The sequence below is a fragment of the Homo sapiens genome, chromosome 14 (assembly GCF_000001405.40).
Source record: "Homo sapiens chromosome 14, GRCh38.p14 Primary Assembly".
NCBI classification, from domain to species: Eukaryota; Metazoa; Chordata; class Mammalia; order Primates; family Hominidae; genus Homo; species Homo sapiens.
In genome coordinates, this window is record NC_000014.9 from 41,491,535 (window position 1) to 41,509,464 (window position 17,930).

Below are 17,930 nucleotides of genomic sequence, written 5' to 3' on the forward strand. Positions count from 1 at the left end.
CATTATTATTTTGATAGGAATTGTTTTTAATCTGTATATTCCTTTGGGCAGTATGGTTATGTTAACAATACTAATCCTTTCAATCCATAAGTATGGGACTTTTTTTATTTGTGTCATCTACAATTTCTTTTATCAGCGTTTTGTAGTGTCTTTCATAGAAATCTTTCACCTTCTTGGTTAAATATATTCCAGTAATAAAGCCACACACAGTCAACTGCTCTTTGACAAAGTTGACAAGAACATACATTGCAGAAAGGACAGCCTTTTCAATAAATGGTGCTGAGAACATTGGATAGCCACATGCAGAAGAATGAAACTTCAATCCTATCTTTTTCGCCATATGCAAAAATCAACTCAAGATGGATTAAAGTCTTAAATGTAAGACTTGAAACTATAAATATCCTAGAATAAAACCTAGGGAAAGCTCTTCTTGACATTAACATCAGCAAAGAATTCATGAAGCAAAAGCAGAGGCAACAAAACCAAAAATAGACAAATGGGATTTATTAAACTAAAAAGCTTCTGCATAGCAAAAGAAATAACTAACAGAGTAAACAGACAACATGAAGAATAAGAAAAATATTTGCAAACTACACATCCAACAAGAGATTAATATCCAGCATAGACAAGGAACTGAAACAACTCAACAACAAACAAATAATCCCATTAAAAAGTGGGCAAAGCTCACACCAGTTAGAATGGCAATCATTAAAAAGTCAGGAAACAACAGGTGCTGGAGAGGATGTGGAGAAATAGGAACACTTTTACACTGTTGGTGGGACTGTAAACTAGTTCAACCATTGTGGAAGTCAGTGTGGCAATTCCTCAGGGATCTAGAACTAGAAATACCATTTGACCCAGCCATCCCATTACTGGGTATATACCCAAAGGACTATAAATCATGCTGCTATAAAGACACATGCACAGGTATGTTTATTGCGGCACTATTCACAATAGCAAAGACTTGGAACCAACCCAAATGTCCAACAATGATAGACTGGATTAAGAAAATGTGGCACATATACACCATGGAATACTATGCAGCCATAAAAAATGATGAGTTCACGTCCTTTGTAGGGACATGGATGAAACTGGAAATCATCATTCTCAGTAAACTATCGCAAGAACAAAAAACCAAACACCGCATATTCTCACTCATAGGTGGGAATTGAACAATGAGAACACATGGACACAGGAAGGGGAACATCACACTCTGGGGACTGTTGTGGGGTGGGGGGAGGGGGAAGGGATAGCTTTAGGAGATATACCTAATGCTAAATGACGAGTTAATGGGTGCAGCACACCAGCATGGCACATGTATACATATGTAACTAACCTGCATATTGTGCACATGTACCCTAAAACTTAAAGTATAATAATAATAAAATAAAATTTTAAAAAAAGTGGGCAAAGAAGATGAATAGATATTCTTCAAAAGAATACATACAAATGGTCAACAAGCCTAAGAAAAAATGCACATTGCTGCTAATCATCAGAGCAATGCAAATTAAAAACACAATGGCATATTAAATGTACACCAATCAGAATGTTATTATTAAAATGACTAATAATAACACATGTTGGTGATGATGCAGAGAAAAGAAAAGTCGTACCCTTTTGTTGGGAATGTAAATTAGTACAGCCTCTACGGGAAACAGTAGGGAGATATCCCAAAGAATTAAAAATTGCACTATTGTTTGATTGGCAACCCCACTACTGTGTATTTCCCCAAAGGAAAAGAAATCATTATATCAAAAGGATAACTGTACTCATGTGTTTATTGCAGCACTATTCACAATAGCAAATATGTGGAATCAACCAAAGTACCTATCAACAGCTTGGATTAAAACTGTGGTATATATGCACAATGGAATACTAATCAGCCATTAAAAATTTTGAAACCACATATTTTGCAGCACCATGGTCTCTGACAAAGCAGACTTTAAACCAACAAAGATCAAAAAAGACAAAGAAGGGTATTGCATAATAGTAACGGGATCAATTCAACAAGAAGAGCTAACTAACCTAAATATATATGCACCCAATACAGGAGCACCCAAATTCATAAAACAAGTTCTTAGAGACCTACAAAGAGACTTAGACTCCTACACAATAATAGTGGGAGACTGTAACACCCCACTGTCAATATTAGACAGGTCAATAAGTCAGAAAATTAACAAGGATATTCAGGACTGGAACTCAGCTCTGGATCAAATGGACCTAATAGACATCTACAGAACTCTCCATGCCAATCAACAGAATAGACATTATTCTCAGTGCCACATGGCAATTATTCTAAAATCAACCACATAATTGCAAGTAAAACATTCCTCAGCAAATGCAAAAGAACTGAAATCATAACAGTCTCTCAGACCACAGTGCAATCAAATTAGAACTCAGGATTAAGAAACTCACTCAAAACCACACAACTACATGGAAATTGACCAACCTGCTCCTGAATGACTCCTGGGTAAATAATGAAATTAAGGCATAAATAAAGAAGTTATTTGAAACCAATGAGAACAAAAAGACAATGTGCTAGAATCTCTGGGACACAGTTAAAGCAGTGTTAAGAGGAAAGTGTATAGCACTAAAGGCCCACATCAGAAAGCTAGAAAGATCTCAAATTGACACCCTAACATCACAATTAAAAGAGCTAAAGAAGCAAGAGCAAACAATTCCGAAAGCTAGAAGAAGACAAGAAATAATTAAGATCAGAGCAGAACTGAAGAATATGGAGACACGAAAAGCCCTTCAAAAAAATCAATAAATTCAGGAGCTGGCTTTTTGAAAAAATTAACAAAATAGATAGATCACTAGACAGACTAATAAAAAAGAGAGAAGAATCAAAGTGACACAATAAAAATTATAAACAGGATATCACCACTGACCCCAAAGAAGTAAGAAATATCATCAGAAAATACTATAAACACCTATATGCGAATAAACTAGAAAATCTAGAAGAAATGGATAAATTCCTGGACACACACACCCTCCAAGACTAAACCAGGAAGAAGTTGAATCCCTGAATAGATCAATAACAAGTTCTGAAATGAAGGCAGTAATTAATAGCCTACCAACCATAAAAAGCCAAGGATTAGATGAATTCACAGCCAAATTCTACCAGAGGTACAAAGAGAGGCTTATACCATTCCTTCTGAAACTATTCCAAACACTTGAAAAAGAGGGACTCCTCCCTAACTCATTTTATGAGGCCAGCATTATCCTGATACCAAAATCTGGCAGAGACACACACAAAAAAAATTAAAACTTTGTGCCAATATCCCTAATAAATATCGATGCGAAAATCCTCAATAAAAACTGGCAAACTGAATCCAGCAGCACTTCAAAAAGCTTGCCCACCAAGATCATGTTGGCTTCATCCCTGGGATGCAAGCCTGCTTCAACATATGCAACTCAATAAACTTAATCCATCACATAAACAGAACCATAACAAAAATCACATGATTATCTCGATACAGAAAAAGCTTTTGATAAAATTCAACATCCCTTTATGTTAAAAACCCTCAATAAACTAGCTATCAATGGAACATATCTCAAAATAATAAGAGCTACTTATGACAAACCCGGAGCCAATATCATACTGAATGGGCAAAAGCTGGAAGCATTCCCTTTGAAAACCAGCACAAAACAAGGATGCCCTCTCTCTCCACTCCTATTCAACATAGTATTGGAAGTTCTGGCCAGGGCAATCAGGCAAGAAAAAGAAATAAAGTGTATTCAAATAGGAATAGAGAAAGTCGAATTGTATCTGTTTGCACACAACATGATTCTATGTTTAGAAAGTCACATCATCTCAGCCCCAAAACTCCTCAAGCTGATAAGCAACTTCAGCAAAGTCTTAGGATACAAAATCAATTTGCAAAAATCACAAGCATTCCTATAAACCAACAATAGACAAGCAGAGAGCCAAATCATGAATTAACTTTCATTCACAATTGCTAAAAAGAGAATAAAATACCTAGGAATACAGCTAACAAGGGATGTAAAGGACCTCTTCAAGAACTACACATCCCTGCTCAAGGAAATAAGAGAGGACACAAACAAACAAACAAACAAAATTCCATCCTCATGGATAGGAAGAATCAATATCATGAAAATGGCCATACTGCCCAAAGTAATTTATAGATCCAATGCTATTCCCATCAAAATACCATTGACATTCTTCACAGAAATAGAAAAAAAAACTACTTTAAAAATCATATGGAACCATATGGAACCAAAAAAGAGCTCATATAGCCAAGACAATCCTAAGCAAAAAGAACAAAGCTGGAGGCATCGTGCTACCTGACTTCAAACTATACTACAAGGCTACAGTAAGCAAAACAGCATCGTACTTGTAGCAAAGCAAACATATAGACCAATGCAACAGAATATAGACCTCAGACATAAGACCACACATCTACAACCATCTGATCTTCGACAAATCTGACAAAAACAAGAAATGGGGAAGGGATTCCCTATTTAATACATGGTGCTGGGAAAACTGGCTAGCCATATGCAGATAACTGAAACTAGACCCATTCCTTACACCTTATACAGAAATTAACTCAAGATGGATTAAAGACTTAAGTGTAAAACCCAAAACCATAAAAACCCTAGAAGAAAACCTAGGCAGTATCATTCAGGACATAGACATGGGCAAAGACTTCATGACAAAAATGCCAAAAGCAATTGCAACAAAAACCGAAATTGACAAATGGGATCTCACTAAAGAGCTTCTGCATAGCAAAACAAACTATCACCAGAGTGAACAGGCAACCTACAGAATAGGAGAAAATTTTTGTAATCTATCCATCTGACAAAGGTATAATATCCAGAATCTACAAGGAACTTAGAGAAATTTACGATAAAAAAAAACCTCATTAAAAAGTGGGCAAAGAATATGAGCAGACACTTCTCAAAAGAAGACATGTATGTGGCCAAAAACATATGATAAGAAGCTCAAAATCACTGATAATTACAGAAATGCAAATGAAAACCACAAGAAGATACCATCTCATACCAGTCAGAATGGCATTTATTAAAATATCAAGAAACAATAGATGTGGGTGAGGCTGTGGAGAAATAAAGAATGCTTTTACACTGTTGGTGAGAATGTAAATTAGTTCATTTATTGTGGAAGGCAGTGTGATGATTCCTCAAGGATCTGGAACCAGAAATACCATTTGACCCAGCAATCCCATTATTGGGTATACACCCAAAGGAATATAAATCATTCTACTATAAAGATACATGCACACGTATGTTTATTGCAGCACTGTTTACAATAGCAAAGACATGGAACCAACCCAAATGCCTATGAATGCTAGACTGGATAAAGAAAACGTGGTATATATACACTATGGAATACTATGCAGTCACAACAAGGAATGAGATCATGTCTTTTGCAGGGACATGGATGAAGCTGGAAGCCATCATTCTCAGCAAACTAACACAGGAACAGAAAGCCAAACACTACATGTTCTCACTCATAAGTGGGAGCTGAACAATGAGAACACATGGACACAGGGAGGGGAACAACACACTCCAGGGCCAGGTGGTGGGTAGGGGGCAAGGAGAGGGAGAGCATTATGACAAATACCTAATGCATGCAAGGCTGACAACCTAGTTGACACGTTGATAGGTGCAGCAAACCACCATGGTACACATATACCTATGTAACAAACCTACATGTTCTGCACTTGTATCCTGGAACTTAAAGTAAAATTTAAAAAAAAGAAATAAAGTTATACATCTATTCAATATAACGAGTGCCAATGCACACACTTAATTGGTATTTTGAACATTTTCATTGTCTTTATCCACTCATCCATTCCCAACTATTCTTATCAAACTTGAAATCAAACTAGATATGAATCCTGATGCTTTGCATTATGGGTGATACCACCCATCCTCCCCAGCCCCACACATCTATTACAAAGTTCTAATTTGTTTGTGGATTTCAATAAGAGTTTTCCTGGCACATAAATTAAGCACATGCTGATCTGAACAATTCCATTAGTACTCAGCCAAACAAAAATATTTAATAGGTTCGAGATTATGGTCCTCATATGAGAACATAACCAATAATTTTATCATCTTCTAACTAATTTGTGATTGGCAACTTAATCCATTATTTAGCTATAAGGAGAGAAAATCAGCATTCATAATAATCTCCAAATTGTATTTGAAGTATTACAAAGTTTTACGTGTGATTTCTATTTACAATTAGTTGGAATTGTGTAAAGATGCAATAAAATTAGTTTACTATTTTGGACCATGCACACATCTTGAATACAACTTATTATAAAATGAAAATTTGGGTAATCAAAAGCTGTTTATATCAACAACAATCATAAAGAAAAAATAAATTCAAGACTAATTTTTCTTTAATCTGACCTGTATAGACCCCTTTTTTTTGCCAGACTACCATGCATTTCTCTGTAAGGACCACAACAAGTATGTGATGGTAACAGTTTAAAAACGCAGTGTCCTGGTTTCTTTTACACCTCCCTTCACTACACACACACACACACACACACACTCACACTATACACTCTAGAGACAAGGTGGGCCTCTAAAAATTAAGTGATAATCATCCCTATTTTCAAAGAAATATATTTTCATTTGACCCAAGACATTGTGTTATTTTGAGCTTTCTATTATCTTTATCCACCTATCCACCCCCAACTATTTTCATAAACCCGAAAGCCAAACTAGATCTGGATCCACGTGCTTGGTATTATGGGTTTTATGGGTGACATTTCTCTTTTTTTTTTTCCTGACTATTACAAAGCTCTAATTCATTGTGAATTTCAACGAGAGTTTTCTTGGCACAGAAAAGAAGCACCTGCTGATTTTCTGCTTTATCAAGAAACACCTGCTGCTTTATCAAGAGTGAGTAGAGGTAAGCAACAGTATGTGTCTGATTATCAATGCACCCCTAGTAGATAATTAAGAAGTTTCCCTTCACTTAGACACACATTCATTTTTACAGTCAATAAATATCTACTGAGTATCCAAAAGGAAAAGGTGTTAGGTACTGAGTCAATGAAACATACATGTCATTCACAAACATCAGGCAATCTGATTAATATTATAATAATTTTTTAAAAAAATCTGGGGGAGTGGAGACATCAAGTTGAATAGCATGGTTCTTTCTGTTAAATGGTTTGCAATCTAGTGCAAATGGAATTTTGTGGAAGTAAATGTCAGGACAAGGAGTAAGACAAATTATTAATAAATATGATAAAAAAGGAAATGTGGTGTCATACTAAAGAAAGGGTTAAATTCAAGCTCAGAAAGAGGTGAGAGTAATTTTTTTGAATAGATGATCACTATTATTATTTCAAAAGATAATGGAGGCAGCACTATATAAGTTAAATTACAGATGAGAAGGATTGCTCAGTAGAGGAGAAATAATACAGTGAAGATGTAGAAAGGATATAACATGTTTTCGGACATAAGAAGGGAGGGAATTCTATATGCATGCTGTGAGTTTGTGTGTACACACAGAGGTTCATATCCCTGTCTCCTCAAGAGCATGTTTTGGCAAAGTGATTACCAGCTCTAACAGTTGGGTTCAAATTCCAGCTCCTTTACTCACTGGCTGTATCACTTTGGCAAATGGTTTATCATCATTCTGGTTCTTATTCCTCTTGCGCAATCTCAAGTTTAGAGGCATGTTATAAGATTAAATTTCATAATGCATGAAAGCACTAGGTTCAATCCTATAATGAGGTCAATATTCAAAAAGTCTTTTTAAAAATCATCTGCTCCAAAATAAAAAAAAAAATACAACTTTAGAGGAGTAATTATTGATATGATTGTTGTATTGCTTTAGTATTGTTTTACTAAGAACACTGAATAGATGAAGTGGAAAAATTTTTTATCTCTTCCTATTTTGAAACAATAAAAAGACTAGTAAATTAAGGCTTTTAAGGAATCTAAGTAGACATAACTTCCATTTTCTGTTGAAAGCTATTGTCTACCATAAATTTAGGTTGCCTGGGAGTTATGTGGGCAAAATCTCCAAGGACAACCTAATGACTAAATCGCCGTTCTCAGTCATCCCACTTGCTGGAACTCGGCAGCATTTGACACCATCAGGCTTTCTGTTTGGAATCCCCATTTATGTTTAATTCTTAGGGAACTTCATTTCAATTCATTTTCTACTTTCTTGACTACTCTTTCTCTGCCCTCCTTGATGAGTCCTCTTCCTCCTCTCCTGCCTTCAGGGAGAAATTCCTTCAGATTTTTCTAACATTTTTTTTGTAAGGTAATTATAAGATAATTGCCCTTACCATCTATCTCTTTCTCTCTCCATAAATAGATAGATTAGATAGATAGATAGATAGATAGATAGATAGATAGATAGACAGACAGATAGACATAGATATTGCTATATGCTATATGCTCTCTCTTCCCTCCTCCCCTCCCCCACACAAACAGATATATCTGTTTATAATAATCTCCAAATTGTATTTCAAGTATTATAAAGTTTTAGATGTATCTGTTTATATGGCAGAAGGGAGAGAGAGGATATAATCTGTTTATATGGGGAAGGGGAGAGAGAATATATATTTAAAAACTCAATTATATATATACACACATATATATTAAAGATAAAATTATATAATCTTAGAAAACTCATTCCCTCTCATAAATTAAATTATTATGCCTATGAGAATGATTTCCACATCTTATCTCCAGTTGTTACTTTTAACTGAGTACCCTCATTTTTCAATTGCCTATTAGACTTGACCATTTGAATGTCCTTAATCTTGCCACTTTAATGTGTCTAAAAGGCAACTTATTGTCTTTCTCGGAAACAAAGTTTTCATTGGATTCGCTTTTGATTTATAGTTCCACCCTTCTTCCATGCTAAAAATGCCAAAATTATCTTTACCACTTATTTTTAATATTCTTAAATTATATTACATAGACACTTTTCATTCCCATTGCTACCACCATAATTCAAAACCTTGTTACCTTGTACATGTATATTGCCTTAGCATAATGAGTTTTCTGTTTGTTTCTAGATTTTCCATAAAATTATATTTCGTCAGGAATTCTTTTTCACATCTACCTCAATGTCATAATGGTCTTGGTACACATCTTGGACATCTATAAAATGCAAAATTGGGAACACATTAAACACAATATTCTGCCTTGGTTTTTTTATTAAATGACAAACAGAAGTGGTTCTCCAGGGGTAGCACTGGCCATGAAAGCCAGCAGCTTTGCTGATGGAGAAGGAGCACATAAACTGACGGAGAAGAAGAAAAATCTAGCAGTGTTTTCTGTAAGAGAGTGATCTTAGTGAGAAGCAAATGGCTGTCTCATATAAAGGATTTTCCTCTTAGTTTTCTGACTTTCTCCATGTGCTTCTCACCAAGATCACTCTCTGACAGAAAGCATTGCTAATATCTCCATAATATCCCTGGCTAACCAGGAGTCTACATATGTGTGCAGAAGAAACACAAGAAGGCCTAGCAGAAAATAAAGCCAGGATAGATTGGAAAATGACTGAGCTTTGAAATGTGCTCCCAACCCACACTAAGCTCCATTCGTAAGGGGTAGAAGCCTTCCTGTTTGAGGTGTTTGAAGACAACATATAATCATTTACTGTATGACTGCTAAGCTATGCAAAAACTGCCACAACCTCTTAGGAAGCCAACCAAAAGAGATTAAAAGTATTCAAAAATATTAAGCAGATGCATTAGTTGCTGCACACCATGGAGAGAGGCAGATCCCGCAAATTTAGCCCAAGCAAGTTATTAAAACAAATCAATCAACAACAACAACTAAATAAGAATGAAAAATCTCAGGAAAAAATCCAGAGTTGCTACAATATATTTTCAAAAATATGCAGGTAAAAAATGTTATGAGATATGCAGTTGATCCTGAAGCCCTTCTCCAGCCTCTTTATAGTATCTTCTCAGATGTTCTCATCAGTTCCTAAAGTTTGTAACCAATATGCTGATGATAGATCATTAAGAATGAGTATCCTGAACAGATATTCACAACCAACTGATTGTCATTTCTGTCTCCTAACCAGTCTCATTTTAAGGCTTCTAAGCCAGCAAACATCTGAAGTTTTTCATATTCTAAATTACATTCTAATATCTAAGATGAACTTCTAATTTATCTAGTGCCAAATATTTTGCCTCATAATGAATGCAGAAAACCTAATACTCAAGTTTTTACAACCACTTTGGCCTAATGGTGCTTGTAAATAATGCATTTGCATAATGAGCAATATTTATAAAAGCCAATTACTGCTAATATGTATGACCTTTTGGCATCAGGTACGCTAATAACCTTTGAAATGTTGACTAGATTATATAATGCCAAAACAAAACTTAGGTATAATAGGAGCCAGGCTCCTTGTATATATAAGAATGAAGGTTAGTTTCTATTTTGGCTGCACTTATAAACAGGTGTTAATTAGATATGTGATTTGAATTAAAAATTCTGGTACATTTTCAAATAGAGAGCATTAAAAAGGAATTATGTGAAAATGACTATAACTAGACGCAAGAGCCCTACTTTTACAAAATAATTTCTAATGAAATAGAACTAACTTGTAACATAAATACTGAGATTCAGATATTTTCAAAGTATTAATCCTCTAAAGTTGCTATACAGTTTATATTTATAGACAAGATTTTGTAGGCTTTTGTTAATTCGTGTGTACTTAATATAAATAAATATTAAAAATAATAATCAGGTTAAATTTTAACTTATTTTTTTAAAGGCCATAATAAGTATCCTCAAACATTTAATTCACTTTTTTTTTGTTATGTTGTAAAACGAATGTATTTCACCTAAGTGCGGGTAGATTTACAGGTCATTCTATTAAAGCACTTTAGTTTCTGTATATTACATTTTAAATTGCTTATTTACAACTATATATGCTTTAATACGGCAGCTTAGCCATAATGAGTTCATGTAATAGAACCACAGAGCTGATTGTGTTTTGTAGCAATAAAAATACTAATGCAAAATATAGTGTAATCTGATTTTTGCATTACTGCCGTGCTCTGTCCTACTTGAATTATTTAGGGATCCAAATTCAATTCTCCAAAACACAAATAAGTTTCAACTACTTATCAAATAATTTTCAACTTTGATAATATTACCACAGGTCTGTTCTCATCTATCAGGTCTAACCCTAGACAAAATAGCCTAAGTAGAGTGAGTTATTTTGAGTAATTAATTCAGTTAGATTTTCAGCTCTATGTTCATCTTTTAGTGACCTCGTACTAAACACTAAATTCGTAACCTGAGCATTAACAATTACTCAGTGATTATTTAGGTCTACGCCCTGGCCCTCAGTCATGGGAATCCATGCAGTTATTTCATCTTCTTTTATCAATCTTCTTTGTAATTTTCTTTTATTTTCTTCCTAAATTATTACTTATATTCCATTTTCTCAACACTTTGTCACTCATGTGACAAAATAATTGCAATAATTTAATTTTTAAAAATACAGAATGTGCAAGCCCAGTAGGAGTCTAAAAAGTAAAAAGTGATTTTACTTTCTCAAGGCTCATGAAGTCTAGTGGTGAGCTGCAAGTATACAGGGTAACGTATAATAAGCACTAGAAGTATCAAAGTTGATGATACTACTGACTTTTTAAACAGTTTTAAAATAGCCTCAAATTGCCATCTTTCCTGTAATACATTTATGTAGAATGTCAAACTCCTTCCTTTTGTAATTATTCTCCATATCCTGACTTTTTAGCAAGGCTTTTTTTTCGACAATAGTCAAAAAATCTTTGTAGAATGTGCTGAAAATTATAAACTATCTCAATTGAATACAGTATGTGATAATGGTAGTAATTTTATTTTTGCCCCAAATATTTTTTTTGCTCATTTTTCAGTTTCATAACTCTTTAGATTACTTCTCTGACTTTTTATGCTTGAGGTTAGTAGGCTGAAATGCTGCAGAGATTCCTAACTTATAACTCAAAGCCTGAAGCCTATATTATACTCTCTCAAATGGATCAAACATCTTTAAAAATACAGCTAAAGGAAAGGGGAGAAAATGGGTCAAACATTTTGTGTTTGTACTATTTTCGGTGGAAACATTCTTATTACTTAAAACCTCTGAACAGAAGTTAGCTATCAATTCTGCAAGAGTCACTCATGACTAACAGGAAAACACAAAATCATCCCACAGCACATGATGCTTTCTACCTTGGTGTTAGTGAGCACTCACAATTAGTAGGACATGAGGCTGTGAAGGTCAGCTTATGGATTGCAAACTCCTCCCTAATCTCCTCAAGCTCTATCCTCATTTCCTAAAGTTTTCTCCACACACGTATGAACACAAAAAAATGTTTTCTCTATTCTTTCTTCATTTTTGAACCTTTTTTATTGAAATATAAACTAATATAGAAAACAAATGTCTAAGCATAACTTATGAGTAAACTGTTCAGCTAGTTTTCACAAACTGAACACATCCTTGTAATCAGCATCTGGATAAAACATAGAATATTCCAATATCCAGAAAAGAAACATGTTGAAACAGAACATTTTTAGAAATGAAAAATAGGTATGTTAATTAAAATAAAGGTGAGAAAGGTAATCCCTTTTCCGTGTATATGCACGTGCTGACTATATAATATGCCATTTCCAAAAAATGGGTTCACAGAAGACTTTCCAAGCATATTTGTGTTATTGTTCAAAAGCTTTTGTGATAATAATGATTTGGAGATGTTGAATTAAAGCTAGTCAAACAAGTTTACCACATAGGATCTTCACAAATTCAGACTCCAGTGTCTACTCCCTGATGGTTCTCAAGTCAGGAGAGAAATGAGAAAAAATACTTCTTGTCTATTCTTATAATTATTTTTTTCTACCTGGAGAGAACTCAGTTAGTGTAAATTGTGGCCTCTCCATCTTTTACACTTTTTTCCCCAGGAGAATGAGTAATCAATTGATAAATTTGGGACAAATGAATTAGACATGCTAACAGTAGTTCTTCCCACGGAGTAAACTTTGTCTTGAAAGTGAGCTACCTCAAGGGAGCAAGCAGAATTGGCTTCACAAATGTATCACCTGTGTGGCCACATAGAACTTACCACTGAGACGAGCCCTCCTTGGTTTAACGTTCTACCGTTGCCATCTTGAAATTCTTAATAATTTTATCTTTAAACTGTATTATGGAAATGAAGTCCAGCAGGAAAATGAAGCACACTTAGGAGTAGAGTAGATAAATGCAATATATACATCTACCATTGTTGCTGCTCCGTTAGCATAGGATATTCATAATGCCCCATGAACACAGAATTTCTGTGGACCCACCTTCCATGAGAGTTTAAAGAGATTTAAAAAGAGTTCAAGGTAAGCCTGCTACATCTCAGACTGAAAAAGTGGGAGTGCTGACAACCTAGAGAGTCCAAGTTTTCCATTCAAACCAGAACTTGCTTTGAATGCAGAAGTAAGACAATGGTGTTCTAAGAAGCATGGACAACCAAGAGAGCCTTTCATATACTTTATTACTCATGTTACTTCTCTGTGTTAGCCAGCCACTACATTGAAATAAGGGCGTAGAAGGAAGAGAGAGAAATAGAGACACCCTTGGTTTCTTTTCATTTCAACCATTCCTTACTCATCAGTAGGCCAAAGGCAAAGTGTTGGTGGAATGGGTATATATCAAGAAGTGAAATAAAAACAGTTGAGTTAGTTTTGTGCATCATTTACACAGTTATGTTAAAAGCGAAATACATAGGTTATATATAAGCTACAAAATACAGATTAATTGTGATAATTTGCTAATGAGTTAAATTCTCTTATAGTTTCATTTAAAACTGCCATTGCACAATATAACATTGAACGGTAAAATTCATGCTAATAATTTAAATTTTCAATTTTCATTTAGTTAGAATGACACTAAGTAGCAAATAAAAATGTCCTAATTGGGAAAGAGAGAGAGAGACGGTGAAACAAAGAAAAGAAACTTTTAATGTTTTAATACATTTTTCCAACTTACTAAAGAAGTGGCCCCACATTTTCACTTTGTGTCAGGCACCACATAGTATGCAGCTGACTCTGGAGGCAAGCATTCTCCTCTGCCCTCAGGGACTGGATGTAACCCTCCAGGAGGCGAAGCCTGCTGTTATGATCAGGGAGATTAAGTCTACCTAGTTCTTGGGTTTCATCAGTAAGCCATTAGGCTCTCACACTGAGTTGCATTTCCCAACCTCACTTCTGTGAGTAATAAACGTCATATTTGGGATTTTTCTGCTACTTTTTGTTTTATTTTTCAACAACTGAATGTAGGAAGATACACAGATGTAACTGATATCCAGTCTAATTTTGGACTACATTACATCCATAACTCAGGAAATCTGAGTAAAATCTGTGGATTGTACCAACGTCAACATCCTAATGCTAAAGTTGTACTGTTTGGAAATTGAGTGAAGTATACGTGGGGACTTCCCTGTACATTCTTTTGAAACTTCTTATGAGTCTATAATTATCTCTTAATAAAAAGAAAAAATTATAATAATTTTAAATTTATTAATTTTATTTTAATTAAACTACTTTATGTTGGCTATTTGCCTGAAAATAATGATAATGTTAATAATATTTAAATTAATAATAACAGTTAATATGGACTATATTTACTACATACCAAATATTATATTAAGATAGAACATGGTATAGGTAATGTTTAAGTAGTAGGTTTTCTACAAAAATTTGAATAAATACATGAATTAAAGATAAGTAAATTATAATATTTGAGGCTGTCAAGGAGGTAAGAAATTACTATAATATTATAGCCAGTGAAAAGAACAATATTACAAAATGAGTTTTGTTTTTAATGGCTGGAGGGAATTAGTAACATTAGACTTCAGTATAAAATTTGAACTATTAATTTAGTGCTAAGTTATAGTATATTTTTTCCAAAACTCTAATACAACTTTGATTAAATTGCAACCATCTTCCAGGAGTATGAAATTCCAATTATAAAGTCAGTATTAGCAATTTCTTTTGGTTTATAAAGAACATCACAATTACTCATGAAACCTAGTATTTAGATAACTGTTTCTTTTTTAAAGCAGGATAGCCAATCTCTGCATCTAGAAAAGGCAACTCTTCAGTGAGGGAAACTTTGGAAAACTAATATTAAAGTTAATCACCTGGTAATTATGTTAAAAGATTATTCCATGAAGTGTGAATTTATATGCTGACAGGTAAATAAAATTCAATTGTTGCTTCATGGTACACGTTTGTACATTTGGGAAAACCAAGGTGTTTAAAAATAGTCAAATTTTCAGTCAATATTTAGAGAAAGATCTTCGTTACTAGGCAGAATTCAAATTATGCAGTGATATAATATTATTTTAATTATAATTGAGATTTGCTTTAATTATTACAATCCAGTTATATTCTTTCTACCAACTCAAGATCCTCTATTATGTGTCATCCCCACCTATCTACAAATGAGTTTTTAAATACTGCAACCCTGCCTATCTATTTCCTTCAAATATGGCACCTCAGTACTTTTCCATGTGAGTTTCATTACGGCGATTTTGTTTGGAGCATTCACTCCACCCTGCATACCTTTCTCTCTTCATCATACCTGGTAAAATCTCCCTGTGCTTTAAAATCCAGCTCACCAAAAACCATTTATAGGTATGATTACTTATGTGCCAGGCATTGTGCCAATATCCAAATTACCACTTATGGTGTGGCGGGTACAATTATTATTCTTACTTTCCAAATGAGGAGATCTGGGGTTTGGAAACGTAAAGTAAGCCCAAAACCTCAGCAGCAGGATGCTGTGGATTTGGATTACATAAGAATTCCGACTACCCAGCCACAGAGACTATATGAAGAGGCCCTGGGACTACAGAGAAAGGCAGAGAGGTCCAGTCATCATACTCATCAAGGCTTTAGGCATGTGAGGGAAACCGACTTTTTTACTTTATCAAGACCAGAGTAGCTGCTCACGAAGCCAGTCAATGTTTCATGGAGATGCTTAATTTTTTAGTTGGGCCTTTTCCAAATTCCTGACCCAGAACACTATAAGATATAAGAAAACATAAATTCCAAGAGAATTCAACATCCAGCCAGTCCTCTAAACTAATATGCCAGACTATAGTCACACTCAAGACTCATCTTCTTAATTATTTAATTTACTCATTTCACTGGGAAGGAGGAATTAGATAATTAACAATAAACCTTAGTAACAAATGATGGACTCATATTGCAGCAAAATATTTCGGCATATTAATTTCTGTCTCTTGCCTGGAATCCTATATTAGTTGTAGTCTAGAATGCACAATTCTATGTTTAAGTTTAATTCTATGTTTAAGTTTTAATCCATCATTTTTCAATGGTTTCATACCTAAGAAAGTAGAAAAGTCTTCTGCAGTAGCCTTGAAAAGCACTCTGAATAAAATTTGCATTATTTCATACTTTTGAGCCCTAACACCACTTTGACTTTCCTAGTAGATTCTGTCATAAATGGTGCTATCCAGAAAAATAAAGGCATTTATTTTGAAAACCCGTAAGTCTAAAATTCATAGACAAAGTCAAATTTAGAAGTCAATTTAGAAGTTGGATTTAAAAAGCAACAAGATCCCAAACTAGTTCCTACTTTATTTTACCTTTCTCATTTTCTGCTTCTAGTTATTTTCACCTTGCTTTTTCTCTGAAGAATTTCTTTTTTTTTTTTTGAAACGGAGTCTCACTCTGTCGCCCAGGCTGGAGTGCAGTGGCACGATCTCGGCGCACTGCAAGCTCCACCTCCCAGGTTCACGCCATTCTCCTGCCTCAGCCTCCCGAGTAGCTGGGACTACAGGCACACGCCACCACACCCTGCTAATTTTTTTTTCTATTTTTAGTAGAGACAGGGTTTCACCGTGTTAGCCAGGATGGTCTGGATCTTTTGACCTCGTGATCCGCCGGCCTCGGCCTCCCAAAGTGCTGGGATTACAGGTGTAAGCCACCGCGCCCGGCCGAAAATATTTTTATTACCCAGTTATGGCAGCTTCTCTAATTAGTGTATACAATGGCCTAAATAGGAAATTAGAAACAAATTGCTTAGCATGAGAAGAACATTAATATGCTAAAGCACACAGTACTATCTACATAAAACCCAGATGACGTTAGCAATACATAGAGTACTTGATACCTACACAGGTGCCAATAATATCTATTCCTGTCTATCACAGAGCCTGATATAACAGTTTATGGGGTTGATCTTTCAATTTCTTAATGCCATTCAAGCACCAAGAATTTCCAATAAAATTTAAAGATTCATTTTTGTTCTGGTGATTTTTTTTTTAATAATTTTTTCGAACCTTTGTGATGATATGAAGTGGAAGGTTTATGTGTCCAGTGATCGTACTTAGTGGAATTCAGAAATAGGTGCACAGAGTTATCTGTGTGTGGTGAAAGTCCCTTAACCACCAGGAATATTGATCCACAGTTTGAGATTAGGTAAGTGAGAGAATAACCACACACATATTAAAATCTACCTGACATCCAAAACTAAAATATTAAAGAAGATTTTCACAACCATTATTATCAAGTCCAGCTAGATGCTAAGAGCATAGACTTTAAATCAGACTGACTTACATTGGAATCCCAGCTTTGTTACTCATTGTCTGTAATTCTACGCCTCAGTTTTCTCACGTGTAAAATAGTCACAGTGATACTTAGACTTACCATTCATTTATTACAAAAGAAATTTATTTATTGAGTATGTATTAAGTGGAGAACATTATATACTTGAGACAGCAGTAAACACAGTGGACAAAATACATGGCACTTACATTCTTTCAGAGGAAACAGATGATATAAAGAAGGCAAGAAGTGCTATGAAAAAAAAATAAGCAGAGAAAAACATTAGAAGCTGCTGAGAAAATCGATTATTAAATTTTTAAAAAGGCATGTAATCCCCA

General features: G+C 34.6%; 1 annotated feature.

The window, feature by feature from the left end:
• Positions 13,918 to 14,419: an enhancer, noted in NCBI's record as "NANOG hESC enhancer chr14:41974655-41975156 (GRCh37/hg19 assembly coordinates)". NCBI's record gives its function as "activates a minimal SCP1, AML or CMV promoter by ChIP-STARR-seq in naive H9 embryonic stem cells {active_cell/tissue: H9 hESC(naive)}" and the evidence as "EXISTENCE:reporter gene assay evidence [ECO:0000049][PMID:30033119]".